At 41.7% G+C, this 22,088-nt stretch overlaps 1 protein-coding gene across 4 annotated transcripts in view; it reads right to left on the reverse strand.

Annotated features, from left to right (window-relative positions):
- FBXO47 (F-box protein 47) overlaps positions 1 to 19,359 on the reverse strand; it is a 30,972-nt gene extending 11,613 nt beyond the window's left edge. For 2 of the 4 annotated variants that reach the window (NM_001008777.3, XM_011524867.3), the window contains exons 1-6: positions 19,185 to 19,359; positions 14,801 to 15,007; positions 13,833 to 14,003; positions 9,133 to 9,209; positions 6,812 to 6,889; positions 3,537 to 3,645 (exon numbers count right to left, since the gene is read on the reverse strand). In NM_001008777.3, the coding sequence (NP_001008777.2) occupies positions 3,537 to 3,645; positions 6,812 to 6,889; positions 9,133 to 9,209; positions 13,833 to 14,003; positions 14,801 to 14,981 (616 nt within the window). In that variant the 5' untranslated portion in view covers positions 14,982 to 15,007; positions 19,185 to 19,359. The remainder of the gene's footprint in view (positions 1 to 3,536; positions 3,646 to 6,811; positions 6,890 to 9,132; positions 9,210 to 13,832; positions 14,004 to 14,800; positions 15,008 to 19,184) is intronic. The other 2 variants (XM_011524865.3, XM_011524866.4) reach the window with 2 other exon arrangements.
- Between the last annotated feature and the right edge of the window lie 2,729 nt (positions 19,360 to 22,088).

Here is a 22,088-nt window from a genome sequence, read left to right on the forward strand (position 1 = left end):
TATGTGCAGCCATCACCACAGCCAATTTTAGAACATTTTCATCACTTCAAAAAGACATCCTGTTCTTTTTGCTATCATCCTGTTATCTCTCTGTCCTTTACCACCCCTAGCCCTATGCAACCAATACTCTACTTTCCATCTCCATGGATTTCCCTATTCTGGATTTTTTTTTTTTTTTTTTTTTTTTGAGACAGAGTCTTGCTCGTCACCCAGGCGGGAGTGCAGTGGTGTGATCTCGGCTCATTGCAACCTCTGTCTCCCGAGTTCAAGCGATGCTCCTGTCTCAGCCTCCCGAGTAGCTGGGATCACAGGTGCTCCTCACCACGCCTGGCTGATTATTTTGTATTTTTAGTAGACATGGGGTTTTGCCATGTTGACCAGGCTGGTCTCAAACTCTTGACCTCAGGTGATCCACCTGCCTTGGCCTCCCAAAGTGCTGGGATTACAGGTGTGAGCCACCACGCCCCGCCCCTATTCTGGATTTTTATACGAATGAAATCATATAGTATGTGGCATTTTGTGACTGGCTTATTTCAGCTAATACAATGTTTTCAAGGTTCATCCATGTTGTAGCATATATCAGCACTTCATTCTTTTTTTTTCCTTCAACTTTTAAGTTCAGAGGTACATGTGCAAGATGTGCAGGTTACACAGGTAAACGTGTACCATGATAGTTTGCTGCACAGATCATCCCATCACCTAGATATTTATTTATTTATTTTTATTATACTTTAAGTTCTGGGATACATGGGCAGAACGTGCAGGTTTGTTACATAGGTATACATGTGCCATGGTGGTTTGCTGCATCTATCAACCCACCATCTACATTAGGTATTTCTCCTAATATTATCCCTTCCCTTGCCCCCATGCCCCCATCACCTAGATATTAAGCCCAGCATCCATTAGCTATTCTTCCTGATGCTCTCCTTCCCCCAACCCCCACAGCACTTCATTCTTTTTAATGGCCAAATAATATTCTATGGTATGGATGTAATACTACATTTTGTTTATCTATTGACCCATTGATGGACATCTGAGTTGTTTCCATCTTTTGGCTACTATGAATAATGCTGCTATTAACATTCATGTAGGCCAGGCATGGTGGCTCATGCCTGTAATTCCAGCACTTTGGGAGGCTGAGACAGGCAGATCACTTGAGCCCAGGAGTTTGAGACCAGGCTGGACAACATGGTGAAACCCCATCACTATAAAAAATACCAGAAAAATTAGCTGGGCATAGTGGTATGTGCCTGTAGTCCCAGCTACTCGGGAGGCTGAGGTTGGAGGATTGCTTGAGCCCAGGAAGTGGAGGTTGCAGTGAGCTGAGACCATACCTCTGCACTTCAGCCTGGGTGATAGAGCCAGACCCTGTCTCAAAACAAAACAAAACAAAACAAAACAAAACAACAATAACAACAACAACAACAACAAAACCATTCATGCACAAGTTTCTGTGTGGTCATGTTTTCATTTCTCCTGGGGCTATATACCTAGAAGTGAAATTGATGGATCATATAACTCTATGTTTAATCATTTGAGAAACTGTCAGACTATTTTGCAAACTGACTGCACCATTTTACTTTCCCGCCAGCAATATATGAGGATTGTTGTCACATTCTCACTAACACTTATTATTTAAATCGAACTTTCTGATTCTAGCCATCCTAATGGAATGTGAAATGGTATATTACTATTTCTTTGCTTTTCTGAGACAGTGTCTCACTCCATTGCCCATGCTAGAATACTGTAGAGCAGTCATGGCTCACTGCAGCCTCAACCTTCAGGGGCTCAAGTGATCCACTTCAGCCTCCTGAGTAGCTGGGATTACAGGTGTGAGCCACCTTGCCCAGTCTATCACTGTTTTCTTATGACAGCTTTATTGAAATATAATTTATATGCCATACAATTCAACCATTTAAAGTGTGCAATTCAATGGTTTATAGTATATTATTAAATTTCTTATATTGTGATAAAATATAGATCACATAAAATTTGCCATTCTAACCATTTTTAAGTACGCAATTCAGTGGCATCATTTATATTTACACTGTTGTTCAACCACCACACTATTTCCGAAAGTTTTTCATCATCTCAAACACAAACTCTGTAACCATTAAGCAGTAACTCCCCACTCCCCCCTCCCCTCAGCTCCTGGTAACCTCAAATCTACTTTCTGTCTCTATGAATTTGCCCGTTCTAGGTATCTCATGTAAGTAGAATCATGTAATATTTGTCCCTGTGTTCCTGGCTTCTCTCACTTAGCATAATGTTTTCAAGGTTCATCCATGTTGCAGCATATACCATATTTTGTTTATCCATTCACCTGGTCTTTTTTGTTTGTTTTGTTTTTTTTTCTAAGATGGAGGGCCTCCTCTGTCACCCAGGCTGGAGTGCAGTGACTGGATCATGCCCGCCTAATTTTTTTTTTTTTTTTTTTGGAGATCGGGATCTTGCTATGTCGCCCAGGCTGGTCTCTAACTCCTAGGCTCAAGTAATCCTCCCACTTCGGCCTCCTAAAGTGCTGAGATTACAAGCATGAGCCACTGCCCTCTGCCTGCAATGACCATTCATATGCATGTCTCCTTGTGCATATTGTGGGAGTTTCTCAGAGGGAAACAGCTCGATATAAGGTTCTATAATTTAAAAATATGAAATATTTCTGGTATATAGAGAGGTTTACAGGATGCTATAATGAGCTCCTTTGTATCTACCAGCTGGCTTAAGGAATAAAATATCATCAATACAGTTGAAGCCCTCTTTCTCCAATCTCATATTGCTTTTTGCCCCACTGTCTTATTCGATATTTATCATTCCCTTACATTTCTTTGTCCTTTTACTGTAGATGTGTGCCACAATTTATTTTATTTTTATTTCTTTTGAAAAGGGGTCTCTGTTGCCTAGGCTGGAGTGCAGTTACTTGATCTTGGCTCACTACAGCCTCAGTCTAGTGGGCTCAAGCTATCCTCCCACCTCAGCCTCCTGAGCAGCTGAAACTACAGGTACATGCTATCATGGCTGGCTAATTTTTTGTAGAGACATGGTCTGTTACATTGCCCAGGCTGGTCTTGAACTCCTGGCCTCAAGGATCTTTCTGCCTTGGCTTCCCAAAGTGTTGGGATTGCAGCTGTGAGCCACGGCACCTGGCCCACTATTTATTTTTTTATTTATCGAGACAGGGTCACACTCTGTTGCTCAGGTTGAGTGTGGTGGTGCGATCACAGCTCTCTGCAGCCTCTACCTCCCAGGGTCAAGTGATCCTTTCACCTCAGCCTCCTGAGTAGCTGGGACCACAGGCACACACCACCATGCCTGGATAATTTTTTATTTTTTGTAGAGACAAGGTCTCGCTATGTTGCCTAGGCTGCTCTTGAACTTCTGGACTCAAGTGATCCTCCCACCTTGGCTTCCCAAAGTGCTGGGATTTTAGGCATGAGCCACTACACCTGGCCCAAATTACTTTTAATTACATTTTTAAAACTCTGTTTATTTTTTCTATTTTAATCTCTGTATATTATATGCAAATTATAGTTTTTTACCTGGTTTGCTGCAGACAGCCATTTGTATCTTGCGGCAGAGATTAGTCAGTTCGCATAAGAAATTATAAACGCGATGGCACTCAAGTTCATCCCAACCTGCTGTTAAGGTCTGAGGAAAATAAAGAAAACATTGTGGATATTCAGACTATCAAGTCAAAACATAAGTCACACCAGGCATGGTGGCTCACGCCTGTAATCCCAACACTTTGGGAGGCCAAGGTGGGTGGATCACCTGCAGTCAGGAGTTTGAGACCAGCCTGGACAACATAGTAAAACCTTGTCTCTACTAAAAGTACAAAATTAGCCAGGTGTGGTGGCGGGCACCTGTAATCCCAGCTACTCGAGAGGCTGAGTCAGAATTGCTTGAACCTGGGAGGTGGAGGTTGCAGTGAGATGAGATCATGCCATTGCACTCCAGCCTGGGCGACAAGAGCAAAGCTCTGTCACAAAAAACAAACAAAACAGGCCGGGTGCGGTGGCTCACACCTGTAATCTCAGTACTTTGGGAGGCCAACGTGTGCAGATCACGAGGTCAGGAGATTGAGACCATCCTGGCTAACACGGTGAAACCCCATCCCTACTAAAAATACAAAAAATTAGCTGGGCTCGGTGGCACGCACATGTAGTCCCAGCTACTTGAGAGGCTGACAGGAGAATCACTTGATCCCTGAGTAGAGGCTGCGGTGAGCCAAGATTGCGCCACTGCACTCCAACCTGGGCAACAGACAGAAACTCTGTCTCAAAAACAAAACAAAACAAAAACAACACAAGTCACTACTGCCTTATGAGTGTAACTGTTTTTAGCATATGATCAAGGTGATGTGCAATTTTTACCCATTATGGAACAATCAAATTAATAACAAATTTACATAAACAAAACTTGGGAAGCTCCAAAATCCAGTTTCTTTTTGGTTGGAAAGGAAGTATCTTTTCAGAGAACTTTTTTTTTTTTTGAGATTCAATCTCACTATGTTGCCCAGGCTGGAATGCAACGGAGATAACTTTTTTATTTGTTTGTTTGAGAAGGTTTAAATGGTACTGAATCCTGAACTTCGACAATGTGAGGCAAGTAACTAAAACCCTGAACACAGTTTAGATATTTCACTTACAACCATGCTGTGGCTTTAAGACTAGAGTAGAACCCCTTTGACCTCCCCTAGTTGTCATTTATGATATTGCTTATAAATGAGAATGATCCAATTTCAATGTGACAATTCTGAGCATTTATTTATGACTTTTTTTTTTTTTTTTTTTGTAGAGATGGGGTTTTGTCATGTTGGCCAGACTAGTCTTGAACTCCTGACCTCAGGTGATCGGCCTGCATCAGCCTCCCAAAGTGCTGGAATTACAGGTGTGAGCAACTACGCCTGGCTATTTATGACTTTTGAATGTGAACAAACAAAACACTTTCATTGGCTGGGCACAGCAGCTCATGCCTGTAATCCTAGCACTTTGGGAGGCCGAGGCAAATGGATCACTTGAGGTCAGGAGTTTGAAACCAGCCTGGCCAACATGGTGAAACCCTGTCTCTACTAAAAAAAAAACCACACACACACACACACACACACACACACACACACACACACAAAATAGCTAGGTGTGGTGGCAGGCCCCTGTAATCCTAGCTACTTGGGAGGCTGAGGCAGAAGAATCACTTGAACCCGGGAGGCCGAGGTTGCAGTGAGCTGAAATCACGCGACTGTACTCCAGCCTGGGTGACAGAGCAAGACTCCGTCTCAAAAAAAGAAAAAAAAATTAATCTGGCCAGTCGTGGTGGCTAATGTCTGTAATCCCAGCACTTTGGGAGGCTGAGGTGGGCAGATCACCTGAGGTCAGGAGTTTGAGACCAGCCTGACCAACATGGCGAAACCTCGTCTCTACTAAAAATACAAAAATTAGCTGGGTGTGGTAGCGCATACCTGTAATCCCACCTACTTGGGAGGCTGAGGCAGGAGAATTGCTTGAACCTGGGAGGTGGAGGCTGCAGTGAGCCGAGAGTGTGCCACTGCACTCCAGCCTGGGCGACAGAGTGAGACTCTGCCTCAAAAATAAATAAATTAATTAATTAATAAAAACTAATCTTATTCCCTGTGGAAGGACATACAAGAAACTGAAAACTGATTATTTCTGGTGAAGGAAACTCAGTGGACAAGGAGAGAGACTAACTTTTTACTTTATACATTTTCTACCCTTGGAATTGTACAAGAATACATACATAGGTATTACATGTCCCAAAGAAAGAAAGAAATAAGTAAAAAACAAAATTAAATAAGAAAAATCTGTCTTGGAAGAAGACTAGTAGGAGGGCTTAGACCCCTGGAATCTGGGTGAGTAGGAGTTGGTGGCTGGTAGGCTGAGCACAGCAAGATTCTTACGGGTGCAGTGCCTGCCTCACAAGGTTGTTGTAAATTTAAATTAGTTAATACATGTTGTCGGGTGTGGTTGCTCACGCCTGTAATCTCAGCACTTTGGGAGGCCGAGGTGGGTGGATTGCTTGAGGTCAGGAGTTCGAGACCAGCCTGACCAACATGGTGAAACCCTGTCTCTACTAAAAATACAAACAAATAATTAGCCAGGCGTGGTGGCGGGCACCTGTTATCCCAGCTACTCAGGAGGCTGAGGCAGGAGAATCGCTTGAACTTAGGAGGTGGAGGTTGCAGTGAGCCGAGATCATGCCATTGCACTCCAGCCTGGGTGACAGAGTAAGACTCCGTCTCAAAAAATAAATAAATAAATAAATAAATAAAAATAAATTAGTCAATACATGTAAACTGCTTAGAACAGTGTTTGGCACACACTAAGATGAATAAACGCTAGTTATTATCTTCTTTGTTTACAATAAAAGATTAGTCAAAATGTTCTTGAAATAATACATCTGATTACTAATATCACACCTTAAATAACCAGCCCAAGACTAAACTCATTATATAGATACAGATACACGCATGCACACACACCACCTCATAATATTTCTAATCTTTACAACTAGTAGAAACTTTGAGGACACCAATTCTTCAGGAGGAGTAACCTTCATTCAGCATATAGAATGGTTTGGGGGATAAATAAATGTCAAACATTTTTTACCACTGAGAAACTCAAAACAAAAATCTGAGATAGCAAACACTATTAGATTAATACATTCTCAAATCTTTATTTTATTTTGCTCTTTTTAAGATTATTATAACTTTATTAACCTATGAAAAGAGAGATTGGATATTCTATTTGTTATCAGTTCCAAAGGTATCCCTTTTCTTCTCTGATTAAAAAAAATGTACCTGTAAAAACATGCCATAACATGTTAATCCTAAACACTGCATAGGAGCTGCACAGCCATTGAATTTAAAGCAGGAAACCTGTAAAGAAAACAATGTTAATACCTCCTTGTCAGTGAAACTATAGTTTGACAATGGTGGAACAATGGTTTGACATTCAAATTTAATGGAAATAAGCAAGAATTTTTTCAGCACCTATTCTGATCAACATTGGTTACATAGGTGGGGATTATAAAAGTAGTATAAAAGTCTCGGCTGCGCGCGGTGGCTCATGCCTGTAATCCCAGCACTTTGGGAGGCCGAGGTGGGCAGATCACGAGGTCAGGAGATCGAGACCATCCTGGCTAACATGGTGAAGCTCCGTCTCTGCTAAAAATACACAAAAATTAGCCGGGTGTGGTGGTGGGCACCTGTAGTCCCAGCTACTCAGGAGGCTGAGGCAGGAGAATGGCATGAACCCAGGAGGCGGAGCTGGCAGTGAGTCGAGACCGTGCCATGGCACTCCAGCCTGGGTGACAGAGCAAGATTCCATCTCAAAAAAAAAAAAAAAGTCTCTACTCTCAAGGAGTTCACAATTTATTTAATAATAATATTTTATTTTTATTTTTTATGATGGAGTCTTGCTCTGTCACCCAGGCTGGAGTGCAGTGGCATGACTTTGGCTCACTGAAGCCTCTGCCTCCTGGGTTCAAGTGATTCTCATGCCTTAGCCTCCCAAGTAGCTGGAATTACAGACACCACCAGGCCTGGCTAATTTTTGTACTTTTAGTAGAGACGGGGTTTCACCATGTTTTATAACTTCTTGTATAAAACCTTTTGCCGGTTTAGTAGAGACGGGGTTTCACGCCTGTAATCCCAGCACTTTGGGAGGCCGAGGTGGGAGGATCACGAGGTCAGGAGTTCGAGATCAGCCTGACCAACATGGTGAAACCCTGTCTCTACTAAGAATACAAAAATTTGCTGGGCGTGGTGGCGCACGCCTGTAATCCTAGCTACTTGGAAGGCTGAGGCAGGAGAATTGCTTGAATCTGGGAGGCGGAGGTTACAGCGAGCTGAGATCGTGCCACTGCACTCCAGCCTAGGCGGCAGAGCGAGACTCCATCTCCAAAAAAAAAAAAAAAAAAAAAAAAAAAATTAGCCGAGTGTGGTGGCACACGCCTGTAATCCCACCTACTCAGGAGGCTGAGGCAGGAGAATGGCGTGAACCTGGGAGGTGGAGCTTGCAGTGAGCCGAGATCGCACCACTGCACTCCAGCCTGGAGGACAGAGTGAGACTCCATCTCAAAAAAAAAAAAAAGTTTTATTTATGAATGTCATGCTTTAGGAAGAGTAATCTTGATTCAGCATACAGAGCGGTTTGGGGAGTAATGAATTGGATGACAGAAAGGTCATCTGGGAAGCTGCTATAATAATATAGACCAGAACTCAATGCAAATGCTGACATGAAAAAATTGGCTGGGCAAGGTGGCTCATACCTGTAATCCCAGCACTTTGGGAGGCCAAGGTGGGCAGATCACCTGAGGTCAGGAGTTCGAGACCAGACTGTTCAACAGGGCAAAACCTCATCTCTACTAAAAGTACAAAACTTAGCCAGGTGTGGTGGTGGGTGCCTGTAATCCCAGCTACTCAGGAGGCTGAGACAGGAGAATAGCTTGAACCCAGGAGGTGGAGGTTGCAGTGAGCCAAGATCATGCTGCTGCACTCCAGCCTGGGTGACAAGAGCGAGACTCTGTCTCAACAAAAAAAAAAAAAAAAGAAAAAGTCAGTGTATCAGAAACAGCAGATACCACTGAGTGTAGAACTGAACCATCAAGAGTTGGACATATGCTTGGATTTGTATATAAAATTGAGTCTTATAAAGAGACTATGCCCAAACATATTAATACACATTTCCAAGTCTATTATCATAAAATGTTTGTCATTTTATATATTAAAATACTTTCCCATGTTTCTATACATTTAAACAATAAAATTTCAAAATTCAGAAATTATTTCACTTTAATACAATATCTACATCACTACTTTAAAACTTCCTCAGGATTTGTATGTGGTGTAAAATATACTTTATACTCTGACAAACCTAATAAACTTGAATGATGTGCTTAGTTATATATGAAAATTGTTTTATAAACAAGTGAAAGATTACTACATTTTGACATTATATAATCTCGAAGTACTTGGTAAAGTATTAGATTATAATAAATCAATTTTTTAGTGCTAATTCATGAAATTCTACTAATATAGAGTAAAATGAGCATAAGATAATAATAAAATATCTTTACTGGAAATCAAGATTGTAAACTAATTTAGAAGTATGATCTTACTTCTGTGAGTATCTTGTGAATGTATTTTAGCCTTTCCTTGGTGGGTAGCAGCAATGTGCATCTTTTAAACAGTAGACCTAAGAAAGTAAAGAGACATAAGAAAAAATGACAACAATACAATTAAGAACATCAATAGAGCACAGAATAATGTTTCCTGAAAGTCAAGTATGGTATATCACAGTGGACTATGAGTTGATATGATTTCTAAGAGAAAGTTTGGGAGGAAGGGTGCAAAACACTTTCCATTTATGGTATTTACCAAGTGACTCTGATGCTCATCTAAGAGGCCTTGGCATAAAATCTTGCAAAAAATTGTTAAATTGCTACTATAGGACACATGGAAAAATACATAGAGTATAAAAGATACAATAAGACAAAGACACACTAGAGAAATTTTATTTTGTCTTTATTCCACAGAAAACAGATTTCAATATCTCTTGAAATTAACCTCATGTCCACAAAGGAATATGTTTTAAGAGTTGTTAATCTAAAACATGGAAAGAATGAGAAAACTGATTTTTCTTTTTTTTTTTTTTTTTTGAGACAAGGTCTTACTCTGTCGCCCAGGCTGAAGTGCAGTGGCATGCCATCATGGCTCACTGCAGTCTCGACCTTGTGGGCTCCAGTGATCCTCGTGTGTGCCACCAAGCCCAGCTAATTTTATTTTATTTTTCTTGATACAGAGTCTCGTTCTGTTGCCAGGATGAAGTGCAGTGGCGTGATCTCCGCTCACTGCAACCTCCACCTCCCAGGTTCAAGTGATTCTCCTGCCTCAGCCTCCCGAGTAGCTGGGACTACAAGTGCACACCACCACGCCCAGCTAATTTATGTATTTTTAGTGACGAGGTTTCACCATGTTGGCCAGGATGGTCTCGATCTCTTGACCTCATGATCCGCCTGCCTCGGCCTCCCAAAGTTCTGGGATTACAGGTGTGAACCACCATGCCCGGCCCAAGCCCAGCCAATTTTTAAAAAACATTTTTTTTGTAGAGACAGGGTCTTGCTTTGTTGCCCAGGCTGGTCTCGAATTCCTGGGCTCAAGTAATCCTTCCACCTTGACCTCCCAAAGCACTGGGAATAAATTGCGTTGGGCCGAGAAAACAGGTTGTGTATCCCTCTCTCCAAATACAAAAATTTAAGTCATAAGTACTTAAAATTTCAGAAGCTAGATTTTTTTTTTCCCCACAGAAAGTATCCAGTTAGGATGAAATATCCATCTCTTCCTTCTAAGATATCCTTTTATGGGACTTGCATGTTAAGAATGTATAAGATTTTGTGTACAGATACTTTAAAAAGAAAAAAAAAAAAACTCCTCAATTTCTCAGTGAGATGTGTAACTTGAGCTACAGTGACAGGAAGTGTATGATTTGTTTCCTCTAACTTTAAACGTTCTATTTTCCTAAAATGGCCATACATTGTTAACATTCCTATGAGGGCAAATGTCCTCAAACTAAAAATAAGATATATGGTAGGAAAATACATACCTGAACCTTATGACTTTTTTCAGCTTTCATCTTCTATTTACTTTTTTACATATTATAATTACTTTATATAATTCTGAAGAATCTACAGGAGTCTAACTTATTTTTAGAAGTTGCTATGTTTGAGTAACACATGAACAGAATTGTTTTAAACAAAAACCCTCTTTATTTTTGTATATAAAAAGACATTTTTCATACTTGACAACTAAGGGAAAAAAAAGACATTTTTCAGTGTTTGGTTTTTAAGCTGAGTTCTTTCCCTTCATACATTGGTATCCAGTTTCACAGCATATAATAACTAAGGAATTCCAGGCATTAATTCTTAGAATTCTACTCCTGGGCACAATTGATCCTCCTGCCTCAGCCTCCTGAGTATCTGGGACTACAGGCATGTGTGACTGCATCCAGCCTTATTTTGGTATGCTGACTGCCTAATATAAAACTCCTATTTTTAAGGATTACAACTTACCATAAAACCCAATACTGGCTGTTTAAAAAAAAAAAACAACCACAGGTGCTCTGCTATACCCTTTAGAGACTAACTTTTTTAAAGTTCTTCCCTAAATAGAGTCAGATGTAATGTTCTTTCCACATTGGCCATCTGCTCTGTTTTATGTGAAGAAACAAATTAAAATTTATAATTGGCCGAGTACGGTGGCTCACTCCTGTAATCCCAGCACTTTGAGAGGCTGAGGAGGGCAGATCACTTGAGGACAGGAGTTCGAGACCAGCCTGGCCAACATAGTGAAACCCTGTCTCTACTAATACAAAAATTAGTTAGACATGGTGGTGCATGCCTGTAATCCCAGTTACTGGAGATGCTGAGGCATGAGAATCGCTTGAACCCAGGAGGCAGAGGTTGCAGTGAGCCGAGGCTGTGCCATTGCACTCCAGTCTGGGCAACAGAGTGAGACTCTGCCTCAAAAAAAAAAAAAAAAAAAAAAAAGAAAATTATTCTTCAAAGCATTGTGTGTGTGTGTGTGTGTGTGTGTGTGTGTGTATGAATATGAGACAGGGTCTCACTCTGTTGCCAAGGCCGGAGTGCATTTTCACAATTGACTCACTTCAGCCTCAACCTCTGCGGCTCAAGTAACCCTCCCACCTCAGCATCCTGAGTAGCTGGGACAACAGGTTTTGTCCTCTAATTTGTTTCCTCTAACTTTAAACATTCTATTTTCCTAAAATGGCAATACACTGTTAACATTCCTATGAGGGCAAATGTCCTCAAACTAAAAATAAGATATATGGTAGGAAAATATATGCCTGAACCTCATGATTTTTTTCAGCTTTCAGCTGGGCCGCCATGCCCAGATAATTTTTTAATTTTTTGTATAAATGGGGATCTCCCTATGTTACCCAGGCTGGTCTTGAACTCCTGGGCTCAAGCGATCCTCCCACCTCAGCTTTCCAAAGTGCTGGGATTACAGGCATGAGCCACTGCGCCCGGCCCAAAGCACAGCATTCTGAAAATCTTATTTTAATGTCTGAAAATAAGGCTGGATGCAGTCACACATGCCTGTAGTTTCAGATACTCAGGAGGCTGAGGCAGGAGGATCGATTGTGCCCAGGAGTACGGGCCAGCCTGGGCAACACTGCAAGATCCCATCTCAAAAAAAAAAATAGTGAAAACAATAATAGATCAGGTAAGAATGACGATATGAGAAAATGGTAAGTATATCAAACATTTACTTAAAGAATTAGTCATAAACCAAGTGTTTGCATCAAAATTAAATAGAAAGTTGAAATCCTTACATGAATAAAACCATTTAAAAAAGCAATTAAGATCAATACATATTTGTACTTTTTACTGAATTATACATATAATTGTCTTAGTGTTTTTGTTAGTTTAAGCAATTGAGACTTGATCAGGGAGAAAAATTTCTTTCAGATCAAAACCAAAGTATAAGCTCCACTGTGTTACCCAGGTACCACTTCCTCTACAACTAACGATGAATTAAAAATAATTCTTTCTCTTTTTTTTTTTTTTTTTTTGAGATGGAGTTTCGCTTTGTCACCTAGGCTGGAGTGCAGTGGCGTGACCTCGGCTCACTGCAACCTCCATCTCCTGGGTTCAAGCAATTCTCCTGCCTCAGCCTCCTAAGTAGCTGAGAATACAGGCATGTGCCACCATGCCCGGCTAATTTTTGTATCTTTAGTAGAGACAGGGTTTCACCATGTTGGCCAGAGTAGTCTTGAACTCCTGACCTCAGGTGATCTGCCTGCCTCGGCCTCTCAAAGTGCTGAGATTACAGGTGTGAACCACCGCAGCCAGCCGAAAAATTATATTTATAATGAGAAGTAGGAAAAAGTAGTTTCCATATTCTGTTACAGGCTTTACTAAGCCTAATCATAAATACTGAAACCAACAACACTGTAATCAGATCAGATACTTTTCTTTCATTTGGTCTTATTAAATAAACAGGTAATCATCAAATACATTTTGATATATTTACATATCCACATATTCCTAATATCTTAAATCTAAGCATCCTTGGGCTACTAAAAGGCAGTATTCACTTAACTTACTGTTATGCCTTTATTTAAATCACACCATCTTGACATTTGGTTTTATTGCCATGCTTTGATGAATTATAAAGTGGTTTCATAATTAAATCGGTGTTATTAAGTCAAGTCAAAATTAGAATTTTACTTCAGCACTCTCTGGGACAATGAAATCAATGAATGGAGTAAAAGGCATAAATGATTACAAATTAAGGAAGAAAGATTATACAGAATTTGCTTTGATAAGGTCAGTTTAATTATAGCTTAGCCACTTAGTAAATGTACTTAAAAAACCGTAGTTTCTGCTGAGAGGATAAATAGTCTTCCATAATAATGTGTTTAAATTTCTATTTTAAAGGACTAGATTATGGTTGAAAGGGAAAAGAGATAAAGAGATAAAACTCACTTGATCCACAGGAAGTGACGCATAGAAAATACATCAATTTCCTAACCTGATAAGCCACTAGACATTAAGCATCGGTGACGTTATATCTATATGAAATCTCAAGAATTGACACTTTACATCAAAATGCATTTTCTCACCTTTAAAGATAACTGGTTAAGGGAGTGTTCTCACACTAAAGAGTAAAAACATCATAGAAACAGGCATATTTTGGAATATATTCCATTTCCTACTGGCCTTACAGAATTGTATACTAAGTTTCTCTTAATTAAGCACAGTTCTTTACTTGTTGCAATTCTCATTACATAAGTTACCTAGAGATCTGTAGTGCTCCAGTATAGCAGAGTCTTGTCTCCTGTCAGGCAGCTCAAGGTTATGAAAGTCCTGTAGTAAAAGTCTTTTGCTTCCTGATGAGGTTGAGATATAATTAATAATGTGTTGGCTGACTGTTTTGGACACCATGCTTAGCATGCTGATATCCTTCACTACCAAAAGAAATATATATGTGTATGTATCAATGGCTTAAATGCAAGAACGTCACTATTAACACAGTCTATTAACTTATAGGTTAACTCAATCGTCATCATTATCACCATCATCATCCCTTTGGGAAAAAAGGGAAAAACCTTAAAATTGTTTAAAATCTGGTTCTCAATGAATTAGAGACATGTTTGGATTTACCAATCAAGGTACTATATCATAATTACAGGCATGTTTTCAAGAGTTTAAGTACTGCTGTGTTCAAAGGAAGATTTAAAAAAATTAATTTAGGGCTAGGTGCAGTGACTCATGCCTGTAATCCCAGTACTTTGGGAGGCCAAGGCGGACAGATCACCTGAGGTCAGGAGTTCGAGACCAGACTGATCAACATGGACAAACTCCATTTCTACTAAAAATACAAAATTAGCCTGGCATGGTGGCGCATGCCAGCTACTCGGGAGGCTGAGGCAGGAGAATAGCTTGAACCCGGGAAGTGGAGGTTGCGGTGAGCCGAGATTACGCCACTGCACTTCAGCTTGGGCAACAAGAGCAAAACTCCATCTCAAAATAATAATAATAATAATAATAATAATAATAGTAATAATAATAATTATTTAAGTATTGTGCTTTCTCATTGTACTCCTTACCTGACAATAATGAAACTTTAGAAAATAAACACTTAAACACTTAACATGAATGTCATTAACATTTTAGCATGGCCCAAGATGACAAACTAGTTCTTGGGAAAAATTAAAATACTCTAGTGTCTTGTGTAGGCTATTCATAAGTTCCCAAACCTCACCTGACAAATATTTTAAAATTATCTGGAATATTTCCAATGGTAAGGCTTTAAAATTTCCAAATGTTGATATGGGTTGAAAGCCTGAGCCAAGGGTCTTGGAATAACAGCTGGTTTGACGATTACTACGTCTAAGTTTCTGGTTGGGAATCAAAGTGAAATTTGTATTTATTCTGGATGCCATTCTTCTTCTTGTCTCACAAATTTATCCTGGTCAGAAAAACAAAGTACAAGAGACAAGAAAGAAAGGAAATTAAAGCAAGAAAGAGATTTTTTTTTTTAAACGAAGAGGTTGATAGTACGATATGCAATAGCTGTTTCTCTGTATTTGCAAAAGATTTTTGGTTTTTTTTTGAGACGGAGTCTTGCTCTGTTGCCCAGGCTGGAGTGCAATGGCGTAATCTCGGCTCACTGCAACCTCCACCTCCCGAGTTCAAGTGGTTCTTCTGCCTCAGCCTCCTAAGTAGCTGGGATTACAGTCATGTGCCACCATGCCCAGCTAATTTTGTATTTTTAGTAGAGACGGGGTTTTGCCATGTTGGCCAGGAAGGTCTCGAACTCCTGACCTCAGGTGATCTGCCCTCCTCAGCCTCCCAAAGTGCTGGGATTACAGGCATGAACCACTGAACCTGGCCCCACTTACTTTATTACAGCTAAAATTTAAATAGTTTTAAAGTCTCTATTTTCATCTCTTTTTTTATTGTTTCGAACAAAAAAAGTCAGTACTCAGTTTTAAATAAATAGAAAAACATTACTATGAAATTTTAAAGCTACATTAATATTTTGACTTTTTAAAAGAATATAGGCTGGGTATGGTGGCTCACGCCTGTAATCCCAACACAAAAAAGTAGGTGGCATTACTATTACCAATTATGTGCTGTATAATACTCAAATAAGCAGTGAATTAAAGTCTTTCTTCTTTTCTTTGTTGGTTTTTGTTGTTGTTGTTGTTGTTTTGTTGTTTTTTTTTTTTTTGTCAAGGTCTTGCTCTGTTGCCCAGGCTGGAGTGCAGTGGCATGATGATAGCTCATTGCAGTCTTGAACTCTTGGGCTCAAACAATCCTCCTGCCTCAGCCTCCTGAGTAGCTGGGACTACAGGCACAGAGCCACCATGCCCAGCTAAAGTAAAAAAAAAAAAATTGTTTTTGTGGAGGCAGTGTCTGCCTGTGTTGCCCAACCTGGTCTTGAACTCCTGAGCTCAAGTGATCCTCCCACCTCAGCCTCCCAAAATGCTGGGATTATAGGCACAAGCCACTGTGTGTTAATAAGACTAGAATAAATACATGAATAGTAATAATTCTTCCCTCAATTCCACCTTCTGTTAATAATAGCTACTGGCCGAGTGACGTGACTCACCCATGTAATCTCAGCACTTTGGGAGGCGGAGGTGGGTGGAACACCTGGGGTCAGGAGTTTGAGACCAGCCTGACCAACATGGTGAAACCCCGTCTCTACTAAAAATACAAAAATTAGGCTGGGCCCAGTGGCTCATTCCTGTAATCCCAGCACTTTGGGAAGCCAAGGCGGGTGGATCACCTGAGGTCAGGAGTTCGAGACCAGCCTGGCCAACATAGCGAAACCCCGTCTCTACAAAAAATACAAAAATTAGCCAGGGATGGCAGTGTGCACCTGTAATCCCAGCTACTTGGGAGACTGAAGCAGGAAAATTGCTGGAACCTGGGAGGCGGAGGTTGCTGTGAGCCCAGCTAATCTGAAGGCTGAGGCATGAGAATCGCTTGAACCCGGGAGGCGGAGGCTGCAGTGAGCTGAGATCATGTCATTGCACTCCAGCCTGGGGCAACACAGTGAGACTTGGTCTCGAAAAACAAACAAACAAACAAACAAAAAATAACAATAATAATAATAGTCACTGATGAATCTTAGAAAGGGCCTACGCATCTTGATTTCAAAGACAAATATTTCTTAAACTCATTAAATGCAACTTATTAAAATCACTGATTATTTACTTACACTAAATAATTTTTTTTTTAGACAGATTATCGCTCTACTGCCCGGGCTGGAGTGCAGTGGCATGACGCGATCTCAGCTCACTGCAACCTCCCCCTCCCAGGTTCAAGTGATTCTCCTGCCTCAGCCTCCCAAGTAGCTGGGATTACAGGCGTGTGCCACCACTAGTAGCTGGGATTACAGGCGTGTGCTACCACACTCAGCTAATTTCTGTATTTTTAGTAGAGACGGGGTTTCACCATGTTGGTCAGGCTGGTCTGGAACTGCTGACCTCAGGTGAGCCACCAGCCTCAGCCTCCCAAAGTGCTGGGATTACAGGCGAAAGCCACCACGCCCGCCCATTACACTAAATAATTATTTAAACATGTGTACCACACAGCGACTTTGTGTCACTCTATTGTTCTAATTCAGAAAACAATGTCTTTTGTGTATACATATACATATACGCATAATTACAACTCCAATCGAAGGCTCCTTGTTTCTGAAGTAACAACTAAGACATTTTCATCAAAGATATATAATTGTATCTGGCCAAAATGCATTTTCTCCTTTCTACAAATTGCTAAAGTAACATTGTTACTTATACATCTTGAAATGTTACATATCAACTTACATCAATTTAAAATTGGTTACACATTTGAAAACATAACAAAGAAATTTAGTGTTTAGTGAAAAGTACACTCTGAACCTCCTTTGAAACCATACCACAGCGATTGGGGTCAGTATTCAGTGAACACTTAAATTAGGAGGTATTTTAAAATTATCATTAAAATTACACAAATAGGCCGGGCATGGTGACTCACGCCTTAATCCCAGCACTTTGGGAGGCTGAGGCCGGTGGATCACGAGGTCAGGAGATCGAGACCATCCTGGCTAACACGGTGAAACCCCTTCTCTACTAAAAAAAAAAAAAAAAAAAAAAAATTAGCCGGGCATGGTGGCACGCGACTGTAGTCCCAGCTACTCTGGAGGCTGAGGCAGGAGAATCGCTTGAACCCGGGAGGCGGAGGTTGCAGTGAGCCGAGATCACACCACTGCACTCCAGCCTGGGTGACAGAGCAAGAATCTGCCTCAAAAAAAAAAAAAAATAATTACACAAATAACAACTTTACACAATACAGCTAAACAAGAAGAAAAAAATTAAGTTCACTTATAAACACTTTGGTTTATATAATTTCAGACTTTTACATACATATATTTCTTTTTAACAAAAAAGAGGGATCACTATATATAATACTTTGTAATCTGCTTTTTTCAATGAATTCTCTTTCCATGCTAATAACCTTCTACAAGTAATCATATTTTAATGGCTATGTGTCATTCCACCAAGTAAAATAATCTTAATTTGTTTAATCCATAAGGCTGTTTGTAACCTTAACTTTTCACAGTAGGCGTTTTGTTTGTTTGTTTGCGATGGAGTTTCGCACAGTCTCCTGGGCTGGAGTGCAGTGGCGCGATCTCGGCTCACTGCAAGCTCCGCCTCCCGGGTTCAAGCGATTCTCCTGCCTCAGCCTCCCTAGTAGCTGGGATTACAGGTGCCCGCCCCCACGCCCAGCTAATTTCTGTATTTTTAGTAGAGACGGGGTTTCACCGTGTTAGCCAGCCTGGTCTCGATTTCCTGACCTCGTGATCCGCCTGCCCCGGCCTCCCAAAGTGCTGGGATTTACAGGCGTGAGCCACCGCACCCGGCCAACACAGTAGGTGTTTTAAAGCATTTTTATTACAATAGCATAAATCCGGCCTTGGCTTCTTCCTGTTTCTCTGAGAAATGTGGACAGTGGGGCTTGGGCCCGTGGGCTCTTCAAAGACTGTCAGTCACCAGGCGGGGACTTCACTGTGTCAACTGTGAACTACATACATGTTTAAAATAAATATAAACAAAAATTTAAAAATGATAAGCCCAAATTCTTCTAAAACTCAAGTCTCCACTTATAGTTCCTTATTTTCCTCACTCAGAGCTGGACGTTTCGTAGGGAAAAAGCAAGCTTTTGTGAAAATTCTAAAGGTATAATCCTAAATTATTTCTGGTTTCCGCTCACCCCTCTAGCGAATAAGAATCACAGCCCCAAATAATAATAATAAAATGATGTTTCATGCCCCCTGTTCTATCCCACTAATTTTGACCGCGCGTGAAAGGTTTTGAGGGTTCAATTGGATGAACCTCCCCGCCCCCCACACCTTTAAGATAAAAACTACATTCACAGGGATGTCTGTTTTAACATAAAACTCTTGTAAGGGCCCCACCCCATCTGTCGGGCAGCTGCCCCCAAACATCTCCAAAGCCGCAAACTAGGGAAGCCTAAAGGACAAACTGGTCAACAGGAGAATCAGACCACACGGGGTACATGTTTCGCTCCCTTCAGTCCATGAAAGATGAAATTATCGCAATAAAATACTGGGAAAAAAAACCCTCTTTTACCACAGATTTTGACAGTTTTTCCGGCTACAGAGTCACAGGAAAGTGGGAGTTAGTCGTTTTGCCCCACCATCCTCAAATTTCTTAGTGTTTAGAAAAGAAAATATCTCCTCAAGAGCTTCCCGCCAGGAGGCGAGAGGGTCACACTCCCGTAGGCTCCGGAGCTGCAGCCCTACCCACCAGGCGTCCCCGCGGCCTCTAGAATATTGTAGAATCTTCCCAAGAGCCCCCGCGGGAAGGAGGCCCGCCCCCTCATGAATAGCAAGCAGCCTCAGCTCTCGTAGTGCCCGCCTCCCTCATGAATATTGTAGATCTTCCCAGAAGCCCTAGCGGGAAGGAGGTTCCCCCCCGCCTCCCGCCTCCCCGCTTTATGAATAGCAAGAGAGCCAGCTCCCATGGTGCCCTCCGTCTCATGAATAACTAACAAGGGCGAGGTTCCTGGAGCCCAAACTCAGGCCTCAGCCACCCTTCGCTCCAAGCTGAAGACAAGAAGGGGCTGGAGCCGTTACGGTGTGGGGAAGGGGAGGGTGTAGCCCAAGATCCTGAACGTGGCGAGCCACGTCTCTGCTCCACTGCCTTTCCCTTCACCTAGTTTTGAGACAATTTTTGAGTTCCTCCCACCCCCACTGACTCCAGTAGGGCAAGTTACAAGGGGTTTCATCAAACCTTTTGGTGGAAAAAAACCTCCAGACATTCCTTTTTAAATTTGTCTTGCCGGTGCGGTGGCTCACGCCTGTAATCCCAACACTTTGGGAGGCCGAGGCGGGAGGCTCCCTTGAGTCCAGGAGTTTGAGACCAGCCTGGGCAACATAGGGAGACCCCCACCCCCAGCCATAACCCCGCTCCCGGTCTCTAAATAAACACATAAATAATAAATCTGTCTGGAATCAAAGGAAGATGTGTGTCTCCATCCTCTCAAGATGAAATCAAGACAAATCTTTCTAGCTAGGCCTTCCTGGCTAGAAGATTAAATTCTCATTCATTCATTTCTTCATTCATTCTGTAACTATTTATTGAAGCCTGCTCTGGGCCGGGCACAGGAGTAGGCCCTAAGGATGGAATAGAGAACAAGACAGATACGTTTCCTGCTTTAATGGAGTTTATTAGCCTAATGGGGAAGATAGAATGAACAGACAGAGCATCTACAGATGTTGAGAGCAGTTCCGGTGAGAGCAGCGTGACAGAGGAAATAAGACAGAATGATGGGGTGTGTGTGTGTTGGCGGAGAGCTACTTTAGATAGACTGATACTCAAGGTCCCTTTGATATGACGATTTGAGAACTGATGGAGGAGAAGGAGCCAGTCAGGAGAAGGGCTGAGGGAAGAGGGAATGGGGGAAAGATTCTACTTTTGTAGATCAATTCTACATTATACCCAACACAAAATATATAAGGAACTACATAAAGACTGAGTGGAAATTTAGGATTAGTTGGCATGCTGTTATTTTATATAGTCACATATATTCATCCATTTGGCTTTGTATCTTTTTTTTTCCTGACCTCAGGTGACCTGCGTACCTCAGCACTGCAAAGTGCTGGGATTACAGGTGTGAGCCACCACTCCTGGCCTTTTTTTTTTTTTTTTTTTTTTTTGAGACAGAGTCTTGCTCAGTCGCCCAGGCTGGAGTTCAGTGGCACGATCTCGGCTCACTGCAGCCTCTGCCTCCTGGGTTGAATTGATTATCTTGCTTCAGCCACCCAGTAGCTGGGACCACAGGTGGGCACCACCATTGTATTTTTAGCAGAGATGGGGTTTCGCTATGTTGCCCAGGCTGGTCTTAAACTCCGAGGCTCAAGCGATCTGCCTGCCTCCCAAAGTGTTGGGATTAAAGGTGTGAGCCACCGGGCCCAGCCCTGGCTTTGTATCCTTTTGCAGCCAATTCTTTTTTTTTTTTTTTTTTTTTTGAGATGAAGTCTGCCTCTGTTTCCCGGGCTGGAGTGCAGTGGTGTGATCTTGGCTCACTGCAACCTCCACCTCCCAGATTCAAGTGATTCTCCTGCCTCAGCCTCCCAGGTAGCTGGGATTACAGGCACCCACCACCATGCCCAGCTAATTTTTTTGTATTTTTTAGTAGAGATGGGGTTTCACCATGTTGGCCAGGCTGGTCTTGAACTCCTGACCTCAGGTGATCCACCCACCTCAGCCTGCCAAAGTGCTGGGATTACAGGCTTGCGCTACCGTGCCCAGCTGCAGACAATTCTTTTTTTTCCCCCTGTCTCCAACATTGATTAGAGGTCCTTGACCAAGTATCATCCCGTTGGCAGTGGGCCAGACGCACATAATGGAAACAAGGATCCTTAGTGGTGAGAATTTAGCTTTTACTCAAAGTGTCATGGGAAGTGTCATGGGAAGTCCTTGAAGAGTTTTAAGCAGAGAGTGCTATGATCTGATTTACATCATTAAAAGATTGCTCTGGCTTTTATGTGGAGAATAAATGAGGCTAAGAGTGGAGGGTAAGATCTGTTAGGATGTTGCAGGACTAGAATGGTGGCTCTGAGGGATGGGTTTGAGATATATTTTGGTGGTAGAAGTAACTGAATTTACCTAATGGATTGGATATGGGTGGAAGGAAGGGAAAGGAAGGAGACAGGAATAATTCCCAGGTTTCTGACTTCAATAAATGGGTAGAAGTTAATCCCATTTACTGAGATATGCAAGTGAGGAGTTTTTCTAGTGGAGTTTTGTCTTTTCTTTTCTTTCTTTCTTCTTTTTTTTTTTTTTTTTTTGACGGAGTTTCACTCTTGTTGCCCAGGCTGGAGTGCAATGGTGCGATCTCGGCTCACTGCAACTTCTGCCTCCCAGGTTCAAGCGATTCTCCTGCCTCAGCCTCTCCAGTAGGTGGGATTACAGGCATGTGCCACCATGCCTGGCTAATTTTGTATTTTTAGTAGAGACGGGGTTTCTCCA

This window comes from Homo sapiens, chromosome 17 (genome assembly GCF_000001405.40).
Source record: "Homo sapiens chromosome 17, GRCh38.p14 Primary Assembly".
NCBI classification, from domain to species: domain Eukaryota; kingdom Metazoa; phylum Chordata; class Mammalia; order Primates; family Hominidae; genus Homo; species Homo sapiens.